Source organism: Homo sapiens, chromosome 3 (assembly GCF_000001405.40).
Source record: "Homo sapiens chromosome 3, GRCh38.p14 Primary Assembly".
Taxonomy (NCBI): Eukaryota; Metazoa; Chordata; class Mammalia; order Primates; family Hominidae; genus Homo; species Homo sapiens.
Window position 1 is genome coordinate 123,412,448 of NC_000003.12, and position 21,889 is coordinate 123,434,336.

At 52.1% G+C, this 21,889-nt stretch overlaps 1 protein-coding gene across 7 annotated transcripts in view, besides 1 other annotated feature; it reads right to left on the minus strand.

Annotated features, from left to right (window-relative positions):
* The window catches only part of ADCY5 (adenylate cyclase 5), a 166,795-nt gene that overhangs the window by 130,152 nt on the left and 14,754 nt on the right, over positions 1-21,889 (minus strand). For 2 of the 7 annotated variants that reach the window (NM_001199642.1, XM_005247078.1), the window contains exon 1: positions 3,737-3,895. The exons of 2 other annotated variants lie outside the window; for them this stretch is intronic. In NM_001199642.1, the coding sequence (NP_001186571.1) occupies positions 3,737-3,820 (84 nt within the window). In that variant the 5' untranslated portion in view covers positions 3,821-3,895. Of the gene's footprint in view, positions 1-592; positions 846-3,736; positions 3,896-12,207; positions 13,226-21,889 lie in introns of those variants that run through there. 3 more of the 7 variants (XM_011512359.3, XM_047447359.1, XM_006713484.2) reach the window with 3 other exon arrangements.
* Positions 726-1,269: an enhancer, noted in NCBI's record as "H3K27ac-H3K4me1 hESC enhancer chr3:123132020-123132563 (GRCh37/hg19 assembly coordinates)". NCBI's record gives its function as "activates a minimal SCP1, AML or CMV promoter by ChIP-STARR-seq in naive H9 embryonic stem cells {active_cell/tissue: H9 hESC(naive)}" and the evidence as "EXISTENCE:reporter gene assay evidence [ECO:0000049][PMID:30033119]".

The following is a 21,889-nucleotide window of genomic DNA, read 5'->3' on the forward strand; positions in this document are numbered from 1 at the left end:
CTGGGGTTCCCAAAGGGGCCAGGGCTGCAGGGATGGTTTGGGAGTGAGATTTCAAGCGTATGAAGACAGCAGTTACAGCACTGACAGCCTCTGTGTTGCGGTGGCAGATAGAGCTCGGAAAGGCTAAGAGCAAAAACCTTGGAGGAAGATGTGCTGGGGAGCTGGGAGTCGGGGTTAATGGGGGTCTGGTGCAGAAGGAACCTGAGCACCCATTGAGGGTCATCTGGTGATGTGGAAGCCTCTGGGATCCAACTCCCCCATCCCTCATTTCCTATCTCTGTTCTTCAGCTTTACCACAAAAAGACATCTGCAGAACTAGAAACATCTGGATCCTTCCTCAAGCTAAAAACAAAACAAACAAACAATGACAAAAAAAAAAAAAGGCAGTCATGGTTATGTGCTTCGTTCAATGACTGCCCTAAATAGCCCCGTCCAGGAACGTGCCTGTCAGAACAGCTGGTGACGGCGTCCCTCTCCCGGCACAGATGCCCAGCACAGCCTGATAGAGCAGGCGGCACAGGCCAGCCTGCACTGTCTCCTGGTTAAATCCACATCTCTAAGAAGTCACGGAGCCCCCTGGAGACGACCTCACCGTCCTCAGCAGACACAGGCTTCATGACGCCGGCTCCTCCGGGACGGGACCAGGCTCACTCCCCTGTTCTGTTTTCCCATTTTCATCTTGGAAACTCTGCCAGTTCGTGGGAGAGGAATCACAGCCCATCTCCCAGCAGATGGGCCAAGCCAAGGACCAGGCTGTTTTCTTAAGCAGTGACCTTTCGGAAGGCAGGAGCTGAGCGTGCCTAAAACACGGAACACGGAACATTTCCCCAAACCCTAAACTGAAGCAGGCAGGAGCACTTCCCGTCCCTGACCAGAGAGATGGCTGAGCCATGAGCTCAGGCCCCTGGGTGGGCTGGGCCCAAGGAAGGGTGGTTGATTTCTGGAGGCCTCTGATCCCAGCCTGAGCAGGGAGGGAGATGCCCCCTCCCAGACAGAATTTCCACAGTAGAATCACAGAAAACCTGGCTTGCAGAGGGCCTCCCCTCAGAAACCTGAAGCCTGTGTTGAGAGGCCAGGTCAGGGGAGGATTCCGTATCCAGAGCTGCATAGGATCCCAGCAAACAAATCCCAGAGCAGTGAGGCTCTCACCAGAGGGAGCAACCGATTAACAGCCTTTGGAAACAAGACTGCAGGCCCATCCAAGTCACTCTGCCTGGCCTGCTGTCAGTCTAACCTAAATCCCTCAGGCTACAGCTTGAGGCCCTCTTGCTCTTCCTCAGTGAGGGCAGGGAAAGCAGTTCACCTGCCTTTGCTTTGTTCTACAAGCCTGACCATGTTGGGTGCAAGAGACATGAAACCCAGTGTCTGTCCCTGAAGGAGCAAATGGCAGCAGAGAGCTGGGGAGACAAAGGGGTGGGGGGGCTGCAGAACGGACAGAGTGAGGCCCAGGAACTGCACCCCAGCCCAGCTGCGAACTGTGTGATCCTGTGTGTTCAGCCTCACTCTCAGATGGGACGATGCAGAAAGAATTTGGGGAGATGACTGTGAAGTTCCCTGCCAGCCCTGATTCAGATAAAACGCAGAAGGGAGGAGGGAGAGAGACTGAGAAGGTGGTCTGGACACTATGTCATGGGCTAAAGACATATAAGCTGCCCGGCATCTGCCTGTGATGAGTCAATGAAGAATGACTTTGGGGGACACCAAAACTTCAAAGACCTGCCACCACTCCTCAGTCCACCCCAGCCTTCTCTGCTCCCAAGTGGACAATCCCAGCATGGCCCTCCTGCCAGCCCCTCTACACTCATCTCACCTACTAGCTCATCCCACACCCACGCCCCACCTGCACACTTACTGTGCAGCTCTGTGGGACCCTTTATCCTCTCTAAGCCTTTTTTTCTAAACTGTAAAATGGGGATGATAATAGTTTCCACTTCGCTGACACTCCAACAAGCTAACACATGGCAAATGCTCCTCGGAAACCATACAGATGTTCCTTCAGCCGGTGATTTCCTGTGTCCAGGACTAAACACCAGGGGATGAGGAGCTCCCACTCAGGGGAGAGAAAGCAGCATTTCTGAGGACCACTTCTAAGCTAGGGCTTGACCTTATGGCTTACCTTTTTTTTTTGAGACAAAGTCTGGCTGTGTCGCCCAGGCTGGAGTGCAGTGGCATGATCTTGGTTCACTGTAACCTCTGCCTGCTGGGTTCAAGCAATTCTCCTGCCTCAGCCTCCCAAGTAGCTGGGATTACAGGCATGCACCACCATGCCCGGCTAATTTTTGTATTTTTAGTAGAGATGGGGTTTCACCACATTGCCCATGCTGGTCTCAAACTCTTGACCTCAAGTGATCTGCCCACCTCAGCCTCCCAAAGTGCTTGGGATTACAGGCACAAGCCACCCTGCCCGGCCCTGATGGCTCATCTTTAAAGCAACCCTCTGGAGGATCGACAGATGAGGAAACTGGGGCCCTGAGGGGCTAAGTAACCTGCCCAAGGTTGCACAGGTAGTCATAGCCAGAAGCAGGATTTGAACATATGGCTCACTCCAAAGCTTCCACCACTGCGGCCCCTTGGGTCCCTAGAGAGAAGATCCTTGGGGTGAGCTACAGCAGGGCCCACAGCCACCCCACATCACCAGGGAGAGGATCCATGGATTCTCCCACAGCCCCCACTGGCCCTCGGGTCTGATAGGAACTGTTTATTCTAGACTCATATTTTCTGTAAACACGGCTTAGGTTGCCAAGGGAGGGAGAGAAATGCATTTGTTAGAGAGGAATGGGATGGAATCATAAAACTTCCTTTGGCTCAGCTGGGGACCAGGGGACAGGGTGGAACCCTCTGCCATGCCCGGACAGAGGGTTATCCAGCCTCTCCCCCAGCTCCACGGTACACTAGTACCACCTCCACGCCAGAGCCAGAGTGGGCCCGCCAGGTGTCAGTGTGCCTGTGGCCTCGGCCGATCAGATCACTTCTCACCAGAGCCCTGGGGAGGGCTTCATGGCACAAAAGAAAATGACCCAGATTCTTTCTGAGCTTGTCCTCCCAGGGGTGATGGCGGCCCCTGGGAGAACTAACGAGCCTCTCTTCAGCGTCTGCGGGACCGTTTAGAAAATGATTACTTTTCCTGCAACCAGAAAGCGGAGGTGGCATGTCCCACAGCGCCTCTGTGGCCTTGGGGAGGAGCTCCAACCAGAGAGAAGGCAGTTTAATTACAAAGCCCAGGCCTCTGGGTCTAATCTGGTGCGCCTTCTTACTACATTGTTTTTCTTTTTAAGTTCTCCTTCATTTAACCCAAACACCATGCCCTTGGAGGTCGTTCACAGTGAGGAAACTGAGCATCTTTAGTGGACCCAGGATCACAGAGAGGCAAAGATCAAATTCAGGTACAGATTGTTTTCAGAAATACATGCTAGGTGTATAGGGGTAAATGGACATGATGGCTGGAATTTGCTTTAATATACTTCAGCAAGAAGAAAAAAAGAAAAAAGAGTAAGTGAAATCAATGCGGCAAAATCATGACAACTGCTGGTTGAATGGTAGGTATACGGTAGTTCATTATTTTTTCTACTTTGAATGTTCCATACCAAAAAATCCAAGATAAAGTTCCCACCTAGGGTCAGGGGTTACAGTACAGGCCCCAGGTGAGGTGTCCAAGAAGGTGGAAGGGCAAAGGAGAAGGAGAATCAGCAGAAAGGGACAGGTAGTGTGGGAGGCCTGAGGTGGCCATGACACTCACCCTCCGTGGGGCCCATTCTCCTCCAGGACCTGTCTGAATGGACAGGTCACCTCTGCTGCAACAGCCCTCTTTCTGAGACTTCATTCCTCAGGACTTACTTCCAGACGCTTCCCCAAAAAGGGGCTAAAGGCAATAACCTCCTTCCCTAGGACATTTATAGCCAGAACATTTTGTCCCCTTGTCTTGGGGAAGACACCAGGCTGCTTAACAGTGGAACAGCCTGGACAACCTCCCAAAGGGCCTCCCTGTCTCTGATTTGACTAGAAAGGAGGGAGGAGGCTCTAAGGCACTGAAGGACGCAGAACAAGTCTCTCATAGAAACTGGTAGAGACCTCAAGATTTTGAGCAAACTCCTACCCGATAGGGCTTTCATGCTGGGGACAAGGCAGCCTGATAGAGGAAAATACCAACCCGTGGCTCTTACTATTCACAAACTCGCTCTGCCACGAACTGAATTATGGCCCCCAAAATTCCTCTGTTGAAGCCCTGTCCAGGGCTTGTGAGGGGAGGAGGGCTCACTGGCCAGCAAGCAGTTATCTCCCTCACTGCCCCATTACGGACCCCAGGAAGAGGAATGAGGAGAGAGGGTGGGAGTGTATTTGTGTGTGTGTATGCATGAGTGTGAGTGTATTTGGCGATGAAGACTTGAGGGAGGTAATTAGGCTTAAATGACGTCATAAGATTGGGACCCTCATCTCACAGGAAAAAGAGTAGGCTCCAGAGATATCTCTCGCTTTGTGAGAACACAGAGAAAAGACCCAGCGAAAGGCAGCCATCTGCAACCCAAAGGGAGAATCCTCATCCGACCCCAATCCTCTGGCACCTTGATCCTGACTTCCAGCCTCCAGAACTGTGAGAAAATACATTTCTGTTGTTTATGCCCCCAATCTCTGGTAAATGTTACAGCAGCCTGAGCAGACGAATAGCTCCTTCCCCCGAGAGAGCTGAGAGCCAAAGGTGCATTGCAGTTCCATCTGTCCCCACAGCAGATCTGTCTAGCTCAAGAGCCCCTGATTTCTTGGCATCCCCAAGGTACCAGGTTCCCCCCTACCCCACCACCACCATGTGATCCAGGGCAGGAGGCATGAAAAGGCCACAGGTGGCTCTGCATCTTCAGGAAGTCAGTGAGAGGCTCCCACCTTCTCTCCTCATTCCTCTTCCTGGGCTCCCTAATGGGGCAGTGAGGGAGATAACGGCCCGCTGGCCAGTGAGCCCTCTTCCCCTCACAAGCCCTGGACAGACAGGTCCCCAGAGAGAACATTACCTTAAGCCCTTGCCCCCAGAACTCTGTAACTGAACAGATATTTGCACAGGCCAGTCATTGTCCTTCTCTCATTCAGGGACAAGTCCTTACTAAATGTCCACTTTGCTGAATGCTAGAGATGGATGTGTCACTCCTGGCATTGAAGTGGCCAGAAATCTACAAATAGAGGAAGTAACATGGAAAAGACATGAGCCATGGGACAGTATCTCAAGTCAGAAGATGGCAGGTCTAAATCCGATCCATTCAGATGGGTCTAAATCAGCCATGGAATAGCCATGTGACCCTGGGTGGTCACCTCACCTCTCTGGGCCTCCATTTTTTCCTCTGAAAATGAAAGGGCTGGAGATGATGGTTATACTTCTTTCCAGCCCTGACATTCTAGAATTTTATGAAATAGAACTCCGAAAATGATATAAATGAAGGCTCGTAAGGTAAGATGGCCTGGGATGCCTGCAATGTGCTGGAGGAAAATGCAGAGTGGGTGGCCTTCCAACAGAGCGAGACTCTGGACCAGCCATGACTACCAACAATTCTGCAGTCAAGGAAACTGCCATTCACAGTAATCAGAGTGGGCTCATTTCCCTGGTGAACCCAGCCACTGTGCCCCATCAGCAGGTCTAAGTTACAGAGCACTCAGATCCCAGGAGGTGAGACCCACACTGATCACTGGTTCCTGGAAAGGCCAGTGGCACATGTTCACTAACAGATCCCACCTTACCACCTGGTCCATGTTCCCACCATCCCTGGCATGAGGGCTAATTTTACATGTGAACTTGACTAGGCTAAGGGATGCCCACATAGCTGTAAAACATTATATCTGGGTGTATCTGCAAGGGTACATCCAGAAGAGATTAGCATTGGAATCAGCCAACTGAGTAAAGAAAATCGCTGCCTTAGTACATTTTGTGTTGCTATAACAGAATACCTGAGACTGGGTAATTTAGAAAGAAAAGAGGTATATTTAGCTCATGCTTCTGCAGGCTGAAAAGTTCAAGAAGCATAGCACCAGCATCTGCTCTGCTTCTGCAGAAGGCTTTTCATGCTGTGTCACAACATGGCAAAGATCAAAGGGGAAGCAGATACGTGTGAAGGAACAAAACCTATGGGCGCCCTGGCTTTACAACAACTCACTCTCCCAGGAACGAATCCAGCCTCAGCAGAGTGAGAACTCACTCACTACCAGAAGAACAGCACCAAGTCATTCCTGAGGGATCTGACCCCATGACCCACACACCTTCCACTAGGCCCCACCTTCCAACACCACCACATCGGAGATCAAATTTCAACGTGAGTTTCGGTGGAAACAAACTCAAACCATAGCAATCGCCCTCACCAAATTCAGGTGGGCGTTATCAAATCCACTGAAGGCTTGAATAGAGCAAAAAGGTAGAGGAGGGGAGAATTCACTCTCTTCTTGAGCTGAGACATCCATCTTCCCCTGCCCTTGGAAAGCGGGCTCCTGGTTCTCAGGCCTCTGACTTAGGCTGGGACTTACAACATTGTCTCTCCTGGGTTTCAGGCCTTCAGGCTTGGACTGAAACCACGTCACTGGCTTTTCTGGTCCTCCAGCTTACAGACAACAGCTCATGGGTCTTCTCAGTCTCCGTAACGGCATGAGCCAATCCCCCACAGTAAATCTTTCTATATGTCTATATAAATCCTAAGGGTTCTGTTTCTCCAGGGAACGCTGATAGTGCAGCCGGTGCCCGAGAGAGCACCGCATCCCCTCCCCTCATCATGATTCCAGGCCCTCCATGCATCTGACGAGCACACAGTCAGGTGGCACTCAAGGCCCTCCCCTCCACGCGCCCCCACAGGCCAGGGAAGTGCCGTCCGCCCACCCACTTCTCTTTGAATGGCAGCACTATTCCATCACTCTGGCTCATCTTCCACGCCTCCTCTTCCTCGCTTGCCAAATCCTGTCACTTTTCCAACAGAAATGTCTCTCCCTTCACCGTTTCCTTCCTACTCCCACCTCAGGCCCCATACCCACGTTGCCAGACTTGCATCAGCCTCCTCAATCCTGTAAATGCTCCCTGTCCAACCGACCGTGCACTCCTGCCTGCAGACCTCAGTGGATCCCCTTTTACACTTCGGTTCTGTAGATACTCCTCACCCCAGCATGTGAGGGCAACCATGATGTGTCACATTCCAGCCTCAACTCCTGCCTGCTCCAGGGAGGACCCTGTGCTTGGGTCACCGGGGAAGACTCTGTGTACCCGGACATACGTGGCACATTCCAGCTTCCAATCCTTTGCTTCCACTGCTCCCCCTGCCAGCGAGGCTCTTGCTGCGCGGCCCCTCTCAAAAGTGACCTCCTTCATGAAACCTTCCCTGGGCTCTCCCCCATCCAGCTCTCCCCAGCTGCTGCTCAGCTCCCCTCCTCCTCCGAGTCGCTCTTCCCACTCCGACTCTCACCTTGCACTTCCCCCGTGCTCATTTTATTCTACCTTGTATTATTTGCGCAGTTGTTGTAGACACCCCCCCACCCCTCCACCCAGCACAAATGATGAGCTCCCTGTGGGTGAAGCCTGCACCATCCTCATCACTGTATCCCTGGGCTATACATACAGAGATGCTCAAGACATATCTGTTTCCTCAAATGAAACTGAACAAACCGTTCTTTAGAGGGAGCAGGCGGGGCAGACTGCCAAGGTGCGCTGCGGAGGGCCTTGGCACTGGCTGCTACATCAGAAGCTGGCATCACCCACCCTGGGGACAGGTCTCCTCTGTCCAGCAGAGCTTGATTGTAAGTTTATGAGTCATGGTCATGAGGCCACAGCAGCTTAATGAAGGACATTCTCTATCCACACTCACATGCATGCACAGACACACAGATACACCCTAGATAGGCATATCATTTCCCGCTTAGAGATCACAGTTAAGCCTCCAGGAGATGGCGAGAAGACGGGTAGAGATGCTCAGGCCAAAACCCTGCTTTGGGTTGTCCTCTCCAGAGATTTGTTACCTCCTTTCTCCTTTTCCTCCTGCCTGGAGCAGGTAGGAAGTGCGCTAAGAAAGAGGTGAGAGGCAGGAAGGTAGGGTGGGAGGTGAGGGGTGAGTGATCTGTGCCCCAGGCCCTACAGATGGCCGCATCTCCATTCTCCTACACGGCCAAGAGCCTGGACCATCTGAGACAGATGCCAGAGGCTTGAGGCCAGCCAAAGCCTCGCCACCCCGGTCTGCTCAGTTCTGACACTGTTTGTCCCTGGGGGGTAACAAGCAGCTCAGGGCAGCGGTGAGGGGCAGTGGCCACACCATACCCCCTTCAGATCCTGCACTAGTCTGCTAGGGCTACTGCAGCAAAATTCCCCAACTCAGTGGCATAAACAACGGAAATCTATTGTCTCACAGTTCTGAAGGCCAGAAGTCCAAAATCAAAACGTTGGCAGAGTTGGTTCCTTCTGAGGGCTGTTTCCCCAGAAGGAAAAATCTGTTCCCTGCCTCTCTCCTGGCTTGTGGTAGCCTCAGGTGTTCCTTGGCTTGTAGATGGTGTTCTCTCCCTGTCTTCAGGTCATCTTGCCTCTGCGTATGTCTGTCTCTGTGTCCAAATTTCCCCTTTTTATAAGGACACCAGTCACACTGGATTAGGGCCCACCCTGATGACATCTTAACATTGTCATTTGCAAAGACCCTATTTTCAAATAAGTCATAGGTACTGTGGGTTGGGATTTCAATATCCTTTTTGGGAGACAGTTTAACATATAACAGACCCCAAGGATGGGAATCACTCCAGGTGCTTATTGTTCTGTTGAAAGAATGACTATAAAAGAGTAAATCTTCGTAGGGTTTACCAGGTGCTACACACTATTATAAGCATGTTTACCAGCACTGAGAAGTAGGTTACTTTTATTATCTCCACTTCCTACTGAGAAAGCAGAGACCCAGACAGGTTAGGTAACTGCCTCAAGGTTGTACAGTACATGAATGACAAACCCAGGATTCAAACTCAGGTGGTCTTTAGCCACTACAGTACAATAATCACGTCATACTGTTAGCACTTGTGCCGGTTCTGAGCAGCACAGACATTATCTCATCATGACACCTAGTCCTAAATCTAGTACCTGGGTGTGGTCCACTATGACCATCAGATTGAGCCATGGGGAGTTCTCACAGGGCAATTGCTCCCTGTACCCTGGCTCACATTGTCACCCAAGGGTGGGTGGTAGGCAATGACTGGGTGGGAGGAGTTCTGAGTGGGCAAGTAAAGAGTAAAGGGCATGGGGGCACAGGACAGATGGAGCCCACTGCCTTCCTTTTTGAGAGCTCCCCCACTGGCCTCCCAGGCAGGCACAAGACCACATTATATCAAACCCACTGCTATGCTATAGTGGAAAGGATTTATTGATATGTCCTGTTGGCTTTTTATTCAATGGGGGAGGACTGTGGGAGAGAGAGTTGAGCATGAAAAGCCTGAAACTCACTGTGTTCAAGCGCCACAGCCATCCCTGGTGTGCTAACCACAGCCCTGGCCTGGAGCCAGCCCCTCAACTCACGGCCTTCTCCGTAAATGTGTGTGCATGTTGGTGTGCTGTTGTTGTTATTGTCACTGTTGTAATAATCACATTACCCGGTGTTTCTCCCCTGGCCACTCCAGGGACAGCACAGACATTAGCTCATAATAATGCAGTCTTTACTAGGAAGCAAAAAACTGTGCAGGCACTGGGACTGTCAGCTTCCTCCTGGGCAGAGGGGCACTTGAAGGGTTCTGCTCAGCTCCTAATGCTGCCAGGCTTTCTCCCCTTTCTCTCGGCAAAGTGGCACCAAAGCTGAGTCTAGATTTGGATGAGCAGTTAAAGCAGCCAGAAGCTAAAATGAACAAGATCTTGAAAAACTGAGGGTAGGCACAGTGGCCAGAGGAGCTAGTCATTTAGTAGACGTACCTCCTCTCGGGCTGCCCACGGAAGTCCCATGGGCAGGGTGGTAGGTTAGGGTGTTTTATACAGATTAGTAAACAAATTCTCACAACAGCCCTGTGGAGTGGATAGCAATAGCTCCAAGTGCTAGATGGAGACACTGAGGGTCAGACAGTTGCCATCACTTCTCCAAGGCTCTTATATACAGGTAGGTGGTGGAGCTGGGTTTCAAATGCAGAGCCGCCTGACTGGAATGCCCCGGCACCTACCATTAAACCACACAGCCACTGAGTCACAACTGCAGGGCAGAGGCAGTGAGCTCAGCTCATGTCTGGTGGCAGGGGGCGCTGCGAATCCCCCTCCTCAACCCCAGCCAGAATGCCCAGCTGTAAGGACTCGCCTCCTCCCAGATCATAGGATAACAGCTTCCAGGCTGGGCCCATCAGCAGCAGGCTTGGTCTCTCTTCTCATCAAGCTTTTAGAGGCCATAAGGCTCCAGAAGAATCCAAGGCCTGTGGCCATTTCAGGGGAGGGGGCAAGCATGCCAATTAATGAGATGGTCCTTTCTCAAGTAGGGGAGATACAGACACAGAGATACCACCCGATAGGAGCGAGGAATTTTGTATAGCAGAATCTGGACACGTGGTACAGAAACTTCCCTGTTTCCCTCCTGGGAAGGAGCATCAGGGCTGACTTCACAGACAGGAGAGACTTCCCTGCACCTTGCAGTGAGAGGACAGACCAGTTACTGGAGCCACCCTGGCCCCGGGCTCAGGAGTGGGTCAGACAAGGCAGCAGCCCAAGAGGATACAGGAGGTCTGGCCTCACTCTTGAGCCCACCAAGAGGCACCAGCCCAGCCCGCCCCAATTGCCGGCCCATCCCACACTCACATCCGCCTCCTCCTTACTCATGCCCACGCTGGGCACGAGCCCAAGCTGGGCACAAGCTCCACTGGCTATCAGGCTTGTGGAATCCTGACCCCTGGCTATAAAACCCATCCCCGCCCCACCCCTGCGGAGAAGGGGAAGCGGAGGGAAGCCACTAAGGGGATGTGATTCTGCGCCGTGGGAGGTGGGAAGTTTCTCTTTTTCCCGCATCCCCAGCTACAGCCTTGAGGCCTCCACATCCCACAGCCTCCTTCCCAGATCTTTAGGCGCCGAGGACTGGGCAGCTTCTGCATCTCACAGCCAGAAACTGGGTCCTGATGGGAGGGAAGAGGGGGTGCAATGCCATCCTCAAGGGGCTCTCAGACTAAGGTGCAATACCCGTTTCTGTCCTCAGAGTTCCCAATCTGCTGAGGACAGACAAGCCCCTGCCCTCAAGAGCTCCCTGACACTATTCTAAGAAGGCCCGTCACCAAGCCCCAAGGCAGAAGGGCCCCAGAGGACAGGGCCCGGCGGCTGGCAGTCCCTCTGCAGTAAGAATCCAGTCCCAGGAGCACACTGTCTTCCTGAGGCCAAGAAGGGTTCTCGGGTATGAGGAAAGAAGGGCAGGGGAGGGTGGCCAGCTCAGTGGGAGAGCATAGGTGGCCACCCCAGGACTCAGCCCTGACACAGCACCTGCTCAGCCCCTGATGTCCTTGGAGTGGCAGGGAGCACCGTTCCCATCTCTTCCACACACAGGCCAACGCCCAGTGAGAGGCCTTGGGCAGCCTATGGCAGAAGGTCTCGCTTTTCATTCTGTCCTCCCTGTGGTTCCATGCTGGCCTTTGAGCATCCCGGTGCCAGGTGTGGGAGAAACATGGTGAGGCCACCGTCCTAGAGCAGATGGCTGGGCCTGAGACAAGGAGACTGGAAGCCAGCATGAGGATTATCCCATGGCACTCAAGTGTCTGCACTGTGCACACGCACGTGGGACTGTGGGGGCCAAGGGGTGGGCATTTGCTCTGAGATGGAATGGTGGGCAGGGCTGGGCACACGCTGCCCCTCCGCTCAGGCCTGTGCCTTCTGATACCCTTTGCTCTCAGATGCTGAGACAGACCCAAGCCTGCTCCTTTCATGAGCAGAGTCCTGGGCTGGGAGCTCTCTGAAGGCAGGAGCCAAGTTTCCCTCCTCTACAAGATGGGGGTTTGGTGGGGTCAGGCAGAGAAGCAGACCTTGGGGCCTCCCCAGGGGGAAGGCGAGTGCTCTCCTATATCCTAGCAGGGGGTGCTCAGAGGTCCCAATTCCCCATGCCAATTTCCCTGGAAAGATGGTCCAGGCAGAATGCACAGTCCTCTCACACATGAGCCGTTCCCAGGGCTGAACTCCTCTGAGGGCTAGAACAAGCACAGCGAGGCCTTGGTGGCTGGGGGCATTTCTGAGGAGGTGGCTGCCTCCTACCACCCTTACAGCCCTTCCTCCAGCCTTACCCAGAATGACCGTCCTCCTGATGGCTTCTCCTTCTCCACCCCATGTTCAGCCTGGCCAGTACACACTGGCTTTTCTAATGGGCTCCAGGTTTGAAGGGTGTGTGTGTGTGTGCGCGCATGCACGCACGCGCGCATGTCAGCATGCCCATGTGCCCATCTGTCCTGGGGAGCAATAATAGTTAATAAATAAGTGAATGGCAAAAATAGCCTCAAAGGAGCTGACAGGCAGAAGGCCAGAGAGGCCGGGCGTGGGGCCAGCACCCTGAAATGCCAAATGTTAATTTAGCCAAAAAGAAAAAAAGGTTCATTTCGAGACTGACTCCTTCAGCCAGGGTCAGGGTCTGTTGTGACTTCTGGCGCACTGGCACACCCCCTCCCCAGGCATCCTGAGTGCAGCCCAGGCATGAGGGGCCCCCTCTCAATGTTAGGGTAACTGAGCACTGCAGAGAGGGGCCCATCCTGGTGCACACAGGTTATGGATGGGCAGGAAGCTGGCAGACCGCTTGCCAGCAGTTCTCCAACCATCCACCCAGTTGGCCAGCCCTGTGTTCACAGGTCCAACCAGCCAAAGGAATGTTCTGGACATCATTACAACGTCACACTCCAGGCATGGGTCCTGCCTCACCTAGACACTCACTTGGGGGAAAGGGATTGGGCTTATTGTCTCGGTTATCAACAGCCCTCGCCAGATCCCTCGGGTGTCCCATTTGATGTCTCAGGTCTTCGCCATGTGCCACCTTCTCTGCAACAGGCCTCACAGGCTCAGAGCTCTCTCAGCACTGAGGCCTCTGGTGGTCTGTGGGTGGTTTCATTGTGTTCCACTGCATGTGTGCATGTCTTGATGAAGTTACAGAAGGAAGTACATCTGGAAGAAGCAGCTGTATGGCTTTCCTCTCTGTCCCAGTGGCCCCAGCCCTTTCAAAACCATCCACAGCTTATTTACCAGATCCTCTAGAGCAGTCCCCAGAAGGGATGCTGGTCACAGGGCTGACCTCGCCACAGCCTCCCTCAGCTGCAGCCACCCCCAGATTCAGGAGGACCTGGCCCAGCCCACCCCCCAGTTCACACCACTCACCCCAGGGAGCCCTGGCCCCAGCTTACAAGCTGGTCCCAGTCAGGTTCTAGGGGCAGCCTGGCTCCTGGAAGGTCTGTGCTGGTCACTTGGTAGCCAGCAGCCAGAATAAGGACAGGGCCAGGGGAGGGTAAAACCCATGACCCAGGACCTAGCTCTTCTTCCACTTCTTTTTGGAGGTAGTGCAGTTTTCTTCTTGCCTGTTTACTGCCATCCAAACATACAGGCAGTCCAGAGAAACACAAGCTCTCCTGGAATGTGTGGGAATTTAAAAGTACAAACCATCCACATTTGGGACAGACCCCAGGTCATTTATTGAGGGCTTTGTACAGTCCCTGTGCTAAGTGCTCTGCTTATATCATCACAGGTAATGCTCTACACAACCCTCTGGGGAGCAGGCATCATGATATCTCATTTCATGGAGGAGAGCACTAAAGCCCAGAAAGGGCAGGGCGCTTGCCAAGGAGAAACACCCTGCAGCATGGCAACATGGGGGTGGACAGCAGTGAACAGGATGAAGTTCCTACCTGTAGGAGCTGACATTCTTTTTTTTTCTTTTTCTTTTCTTTTGTGTTTTTTTTTTGTTTGTTTTTGTTTGTTTGTTTGTTTGTTTTTGAGACAGAGTCTTGCCCTGTCACCCAGGCTGGAGTGCAGTGGTGTGGTCTTGGCTCATTGCAACCTCCCCCTCCTGGGTTCCAGTAATTCCCCTGCCTCAACCTCCCGAGTAGCTGGGACTACAGGCGTGCGCCACCAAGCCAGGCTAATTTTTTTTAATTTTTAGTAGAGACACGGTTTCACCACATTGGCGCAGGCTGGTCTCAAACTCCTAGGAGACCTCAGGTGATCTGCCCATCTCAGCCTCCCAAAGTGCTGGGATTACGGGCGTGAGCCACTGCGCCTGGCCAGAGCTGACATTCTAAAGAGGTTATGGACGGAAGGAGGGCAAGGAATAAACAGAAGAGTTAAGTACATACTTTGTCAGGCAGCCCCTGAGAAAGGAAGCTATGTGGAGGTTGGCGCAAGGAGCCTGTAGGAGTACCAGGAGCTCTGCTGGGGCTTGGGGTGCCCTAGACACCAGGGTCCAAGGAATGAGGTCCTCAGAGGCACTCAGTGGGGGCTCCCAGAGGGAGGAGAAGCTAGGAGGTTGACTCTTCGGGTGCTTAACACCTGGATGAAGGCAGAGCCCTGGGAATCTGAAGGAAGGAGGCTGTCATGGGATATTTAAAGCCCAAGAAAAGGAGGAAGGCCTTTGGGATCCATCCAAGTCCCCTGGGGAAGAGGTGATATCTGGTTCCCCAGAGGCTAGGGAGGATCTCCTGATTGGGGGACATTAGGGACAAGCTTTAGTGCCACTGGTAACCAAGGTAGAAAGACACTAATAGGCAGATGCCCAGGGGCTCCCTGTGTCCCTAGCCCTCCAGCTCCCTCAGTGGGCCTCCTCCAGCCTCCCTGGACAAGGGCAGCAGCCAGCATACCCATCACTGGCCTCTAGGCTCTCCCTCTGTAGACCACCTCCATGCCCTAACACTAGACCCACCTTTCTAATCACAGGTGGGACCATATCTATTTACTCTCCTACACACAGCTTTCTAGAAATCTCCTTTCCCTCCAACAAACCCAAATGTATTGGCGCAGAAGTCTATACACTTCCCAACCCAGTCCCACTTACCAGCCAGCCTCGCCTTTCCACCATATTCCTTGGCCACTCTCCCTGGCCCCTGGTTTAGTCTCTTGCCACCATGCCTTCGCTCCTGCTGTTACCTGTGTGAGGGTTGCCCTTTCCCATGTCTCTGCACATGGAAATCCCTATTCATCCTCTAAGCTGGCTCAGAGAACATCTTTTTTGGGAAGTCTCCTAGGACCCTCCACTGGACTTGGGAGGTGGTGATGTATAAGAGGCCAGACCCCAGAGTCAGGCTGCCCAGTTCCTTGTGTGAGCTTGGGCAAGTTACTTAACCTGCCATACTCAGTGTCCTCATCTGCAAGATGTGGGTGACAATATCAGTGCTTACTTCATAGGACTACTGTGGAGATTAACTGAGTTAACAGAAGTAATTAGAACACAGCTTGACACAGGTGGCAGTTATTTACAGGTTTGCTGTTGAGGACAGGGTCTGTGGCTTGTTCATCTTGGTTTCCCAGTGCCTAACACATGGTAGATATTTGTTAAATAATTCAGCCCAACAATCATTTAACACAGGCACCTAGGCAAAGAGAGAACTGATAATAACGAAAATAAAGTCAAGTTAGGGATGATGAGGAATTTTGTTGGGAGGCATGCTAGGTTCAAGCAAATGGAGGGACAGTGACTAGGAGGATCAACGGACAGGGACCCATGTCTGAAGTCGAGTCTAGAAAGAAATATGTGAGAACCATGCGCCACCTGGCCTTGTGACTCTCTGCTTCTCCAGGTTTGTAGTACTTTTGTCCCCATAGCACTCCCGGTCCCTGGAGTACAGTCCCTTCTTATTTGACCCAAGGGCACCCTTTATGGCACACACAGGCAGGACCTTCAGGGACCATCTGATCTTGCTGTACAGACAAGGAAACTGAGGCAGGGGTGGATGTCTTCTTGCCAGGACTTTTGTGCCTGCAGTCATGCACTGTAGTGTAACAATTGGTGTCCCTGCAGTCACCTGAAAATCCCTTTGTCTGCCTCCTCTCTCTGGCTGTTGACATAGGTTCTGCTACCAGGCTACCTCCTAGCTCCTGCTCTCTGGATTACAGTGTCTCCATCTCCTCGCTCCCTTGCGTCCTCCAAAGCCTCCTCTAGCCCTGTCCTCTGAGAATCACCAGGCATAGGCTCAGCAGGAAGTTCCCCTCCACTCTCAATCTAACCATCATATTGTGCCTTTCCTGAGCCCACCTCCTGGTGCAGTGAACATAGAAACTTCTGTCTCTCAGAGGGGCCTGGGACTCCCCATCACTTCAGGGAAAGGAGAACCTGATAACGTCAATCTGTTCTCCCCCTGGGAAGAGCACTGGATGGTAGAACTGCATCCCCAGGGCACATGCCTCTAATTTGCGGGGGGTGCCTATTTGGGATACAGATTCCTGGGCTCTACTCCAGACTCACTGAATCAGACTCTCTTGACGAGGGGCCCAGGAATCAAATTTTTAAACGGAGTTCCTGGGGAATTCTTGCACACCTACGTTTGTGAGCTATTGGAGTAGTAGTTCAGAGTGCGAGCACTGGAGCCCTATCATACCACTTTTTAACTGTGCAACCTTAAGCAAGTCACTTAGCTTCTCTGAACCTCAATTTCCTTATCTATAAAAGGTTCTCATCTGAAGAAAAATAAAAAGACAATAGCCACCTAATGGGAGATTATGAGGGTCAAATGAGCTACTAAGTGTTCAGCACCATGCCTGACACTCTGCGTGTCATAAATGATAGGGATTGGCAGTATTTGTATTGCCTATTATTTTTAGGCTGGGCATCTCCCAAAAGTAGATTTCCATCAGACCGAACATTCTGCAAAGGCAGGGACAAAGCCTCCTGTTTCCTCTCCATGCCCAGAGCCCTAGGGGCTCATTAGGAAAGTGCACAGGCTGTGGCATGGAAAAGAAAGAGTTGCTGTTCCCAAAGACCGCTAGATGCCATGGTCCATCCCACACCTGGCTGGCTATTAGGATACTTCCAAATCCAGAGGGGACCCCAGATAAAAGGAGGATCCCCCCAACCCTGCCCCAGTGAGTGCCTGTGCTCAGCCCCCTCATCTGAGACCACAAAGTCTGCCTCTCCTCAGAGCAGAAGGCAAAGTAAGCTCCCTCATCTCAGGAGCACGACCCACCCACCCCCACCTGCCAATCACGCAGCATCCTGAAGGCTTCTTCACTCGGGGCCTGGAGTTCACAGAAACACAGAGGCTGCCACATTCACAAGTGACAGAGCAACAGAATGACAGTGACAGAGTGAGGCATCTTCCTCTAAAACCACCTGATGGCCCATCCTCAAGAGGGCAGGGGGCAGGTGTAGTCAGGGGACAGCAGGTGGAGAGCATGGGCTGCATATGCACCATCAGGGTGGCATATCCCACCTGTGTGGCCAGTCCAGACTTCTCAGCTTCTGAAAAAACCAAGACTCTGAGCAACCACACTCTGCTGGGGAAGAGGCTGCCCCACCCCATACCCACGTCCAACCCCAACTGTTCCTCCCCAGCTCACCTGCCCCAACGGCTGCCCTGGGGGTGGGGTGTGGAGACCCAGCAGGAGTGTCAGCGGGGGCAGCTCGGCCTGGGAAGGGAGTGAATGCCGGCCTCAGCCCTTCTCCCACCTCTCGACAAAGCATGCAGGTCAGCATCTCCTCCATTCCCCCATGCCCTCAGCACAGCCTCCCACATCTGTCCACGGCAAACACATGGAGACCCTCTTCCTGCTCCACAAAGGAACCTAGAGGAGACCCAGGGAACACAGGATGAGCATTCCATATCTTTCAGTTCCCTTAAGATAAACTAGACCTGTTCCTTAAGTCCCAGACTGAGGGTGATTTCCAGAAGACACAGAGGGAAAACAAAGAGCAAAAAGACTGTGGGGAATACAGGCCGGACTCAGCCTTACAGATCTGGACTCACAGGGACAGGCCTCACCTAGACACCATCGCATCCTCCGATGTGGCTCCCCACCACCCCACAAGCTTGCCTGGCTCCCGGACACCCCAGGATGGAAGCAGAGGCTGACACCACTTCAGGCCCAGCAGGAGTTCCCCACAGCACTGTCTGCCAGTGAAATCACCCCGAGGCCTCGGAGAAGGAGGACCGAAATCAGCCCCACAGGCGTCAGGTGGGAAAGAAGCAAAGGCAGCAACACCCCGCACGGGGAAGATGTCAGATGGTGACTAACGGGCTTTTCTAGGCCATTGTCACCAATGCTGGAGAAATATTCCACTTTAAAAATAAGTGTAAAGCAAAATCCAAAATTAACTCTCCCCAGATAACCCCTTTCCAAAGAAAGACCACATCACAAATCCACATGTGGTCATTCGTGGAGGATTTAACCTGAGGACATCTCCCTGTCCTGACTAGGGATGCTTCCCAGGCCCCAGGTCCCAGCCCCACAGCTGGTGCTTGCCAACCTTTTCAGTCCTCAGACAGACCCCAACTTCATCTGCTTCTCTGTCCTCCCAGAGCCCGGACCTGCAGCAGAAGGGTCCTTGCCCTTCTTGCCCTGATCCAAAGGTGCTAGAAAATAACTGTCCACACAGTGGACAGGAAGGAAATCCTCTGAGGGTACAAGCCCCATCCTTTCCTCACCCTGCACATCACCTTTCTTAACTTTCCTAGTCTTGGCCACACATGCTAACAACAAACGCATATGGGGAGTTGCCGGCTATATAATTCTGTGCTTCTCATGAGCTACAGAGGTGAAGAAAAAGTACTAGTGCCGGACTAACACTGCTATCTACCTGTTGAGTAAACTGGAGCAAATTCATTCATCCAGCCAGCAGCTATTTATTGAGCATCTACTACAGACACTTCTAGTTTACAGCGGAGTCAAAGACAGATTCACAAAGACTAATGAACACTGCTGAGGGTATTAAGGCCACAGGTGTTTATACAATTTCTCCCTACTCAACAGTGAAATATCATATCCCCCCTACTCAGGAGGCTGAGGCAGAAGGATCACTTCAGCCCAGGAGTTCAACACTGTAATGCACTATGATTGTGCCTGTGAATAGCCCTGTACTCCAGCCTGGACAACAGAGCAAGCCTCTCTCAAAAGAAAAAAAAAAATGAGAGAGAGGAGGAAAGAGCTAATAGAGTTAATATTTGACGGATCAATAGGCATTTGTTTGTAGCTAACAAGCCTTCAGGAATGTTGAGTGAGGTTTGCTGCTCTGCTAAGATGGTCAGTCTATCAGCCATGTGTAACAGTCATTTCCTAAAATATTCTTGCAGTTATTATAGCACTGCACTAAGCCATTTATCCAGCCACATTTGGGGTTAATTGCTGGTGATAAGAGCAACATAAATATACTAAGCCACAGCCTTGCCTGACAAGGTTTTTATACCAACCACCAACCAAGTTTTCTTCCCCTCTTACACGCCTGCAATCATTTTTAGTGGCCATCACTCCTTACTGAATCACCACAATAAACCCCTTAGATATAAACAACTTGCCTTTCAATACAGCCATAAATCAGACTCGGTGTCATCACATGACCCCTCCGCTGATGAGGGAGGCTCAGGGCAGTAGTTCTCAATCCTGGCGCACAACAGAATCACCCACAGCATTACAAAACGCTGATGCCCAGCCACTGCCGACGTACCTGGGCACCGGGATTAGGTGAAAGCTCCTTGACGTACCTTTACTTCCCACACCTTAAGCTCTGACGGACTCATTGAGGTTAACCCAGCCAGAAAGCCTAAGTCTCAGCCCTGGGCATTCAAGGTGAAAAATTGAGGCTGACACATGCACCATAATACATGGCAATAAACTACAAGGAAGTTGAAAAGGCACTGCAGGAACTGCTATTTCCTGGGACTGCTTTGAAAAGAATAAACAATCCTCTTTGGAATTTGTGTACTGATCCACACTCACATTTATTGTCCTTCAATATGCCCAGGAACTTGCCTCTTGTCAAGTCTTTGAGGTCCTCCCGCATCTCTTAACAGCTGCAAAGAGAGAAGTGGGGAGGAGGCAGCAGGCAGGAAAAGACACCAGAAGAAAGACTGGAGAAGGAACCGGGTGGAGGGAGAGAAAAATGGTGCAACACAGCCCCTCCCAACATGGCCTGACAGCACAGTGGCGGATCCTAGAAAGGGAGAGGAGATGAAAACCAGTGTTTCCTATTTTTTTACTTATTTTTATTTATTTTTTTATTTAGACAGGGTCTTGCTCCGTGCCCAGGCTGGAGTGCAGTGGCGCGATCACAGCTCACTACAGCCTCGACCTCCTGGGCTCCAGTGATCCTCTTGCCTCAGCCTCCTAACTGGGACCACAGGTACATGCCACCTTGCCTAGCTAATTTTTTCATTTTATGTAGAAACAGGGACTTGCTATGTAGCCCAGGCTGGTCTCTAACTCCTGGCCTCAAGCAATCTTCCTGCCTCTGCCTCCCAAAGTGCTGGGATTATAGGTGTGAGCCACTGTACCCAGCTGAAAACCAGTGTTTTCTAAGGCAGGGCCCAGGCACAAGGAAGAGAGGTGGGGCTCTGGTAGAGGAGATGCCAGCCCAGGGAAGAAGCACCCAGAGGGACCCCTTCCTGCCAAAGTCAGAACTCCTGTGGAACCTGAGAATGGGCACTATCTGCCTTCCTCCCACAGTGTTGGGCAAGTAGGGATCTAAAAATCAATAACACTCAGTAAATATTTGGGGATTGAAAGAGACAAGCTCCCTGACCTCAGACAGCCAACAGTCCAGTGGAAAGACACATAAACAAACCTAACGAGAAAAATTACAAACCAGCATAAGTGCTACAGAGAAAAAGAAGGGGATGTTTCCAATTTAGATTGGCGGTGTCAGATGCCACAAAGGCAGGCAGGGCCCCAGAGGGGTGCAAGCCCACACTGCTCACCCAGGACTCAGCTCAGGCCCCTGTCCCTCTGCAGCCTGCTCAGCTGAGGTACCAGAGCCAAGACACTTCCCAGCTGGCATCACCTACAGGGAGCCAGTCAAGGGGGCAGATGGATTCCTTCCACTCAGCGTGGTGAAATGCTTACGGGAAAGGGACTTGGCCAGAGGAAGACTGGGGACTAGGGCACACTAAGTGAACAAACAGCCGTCCCATCCCCAAAAGAAAATGTAAAAATATAATCTCAAAGATCTACTTAGCAAACGAGTTTCATTTTCCTTTAGTTTTCTTGAGAAGAGCGACAGGAACAAAAGTGAATCTGAAACACAGCTAAAGGATGCTGGGGTATTTCTTAGGGTGTTGATGGTGCTGGGGAACTGGGCTTTAGAGACACCCTAGAAACGCTCTAGTAAGCACCAAGCTTCGTATCTACTGAATACTACTCAACAGAGAGACCCCGGGTCAGACTTCCAGGGCTGTACCAAGAGGTGATCCTGATGGGTCCCCAGCAGCCTCCTCCCTTCCCTCCCTGTCCCACTTATGCCACCAGAAGACGGGCTGTGCGGCAGCCTCACCCCAGAGCTGAGCAGTTGTAACATCACTTCTGATACCTCTTCTGGGTCTCAGTCCCTACTCAGTCATCCATAAAACCACTCAGAAGCTCTTCATAGGTAAACAGTTGATCCCAGCTGCCCCCTAAACAAACACTTCAGCACAGCACCAATGCCGGCTCAGGAAATGACAACCCATTTAATGCCCGTCTGAGCCAGACACCATGGGGAAAGGAGGGCCATCACAAATAAAAAGCCATGCATTCCGAAACCAAACTGAGACAACTGCCTGAGAGCAGCTGGGCCCTCCACACAGCTTCTGAAAGCACCACAGGGAGGACCTAGCACTGCCCTAACTGTGAAAAGAGCACTGGGTTTGGAGTCAGAGATCTGAATTTGTACAGCAGCTCCAAAGTTAACTAACTAGCAATGTAACCTGAATGGGGTCGGTTCACCTCTCGGAGCCTCTTATTTCCTCCTCTCCAAAACCACATCAGCATCACAGGTCTGTAACCCGCCTCACAGCTTACAGAGTGCCCTCACCT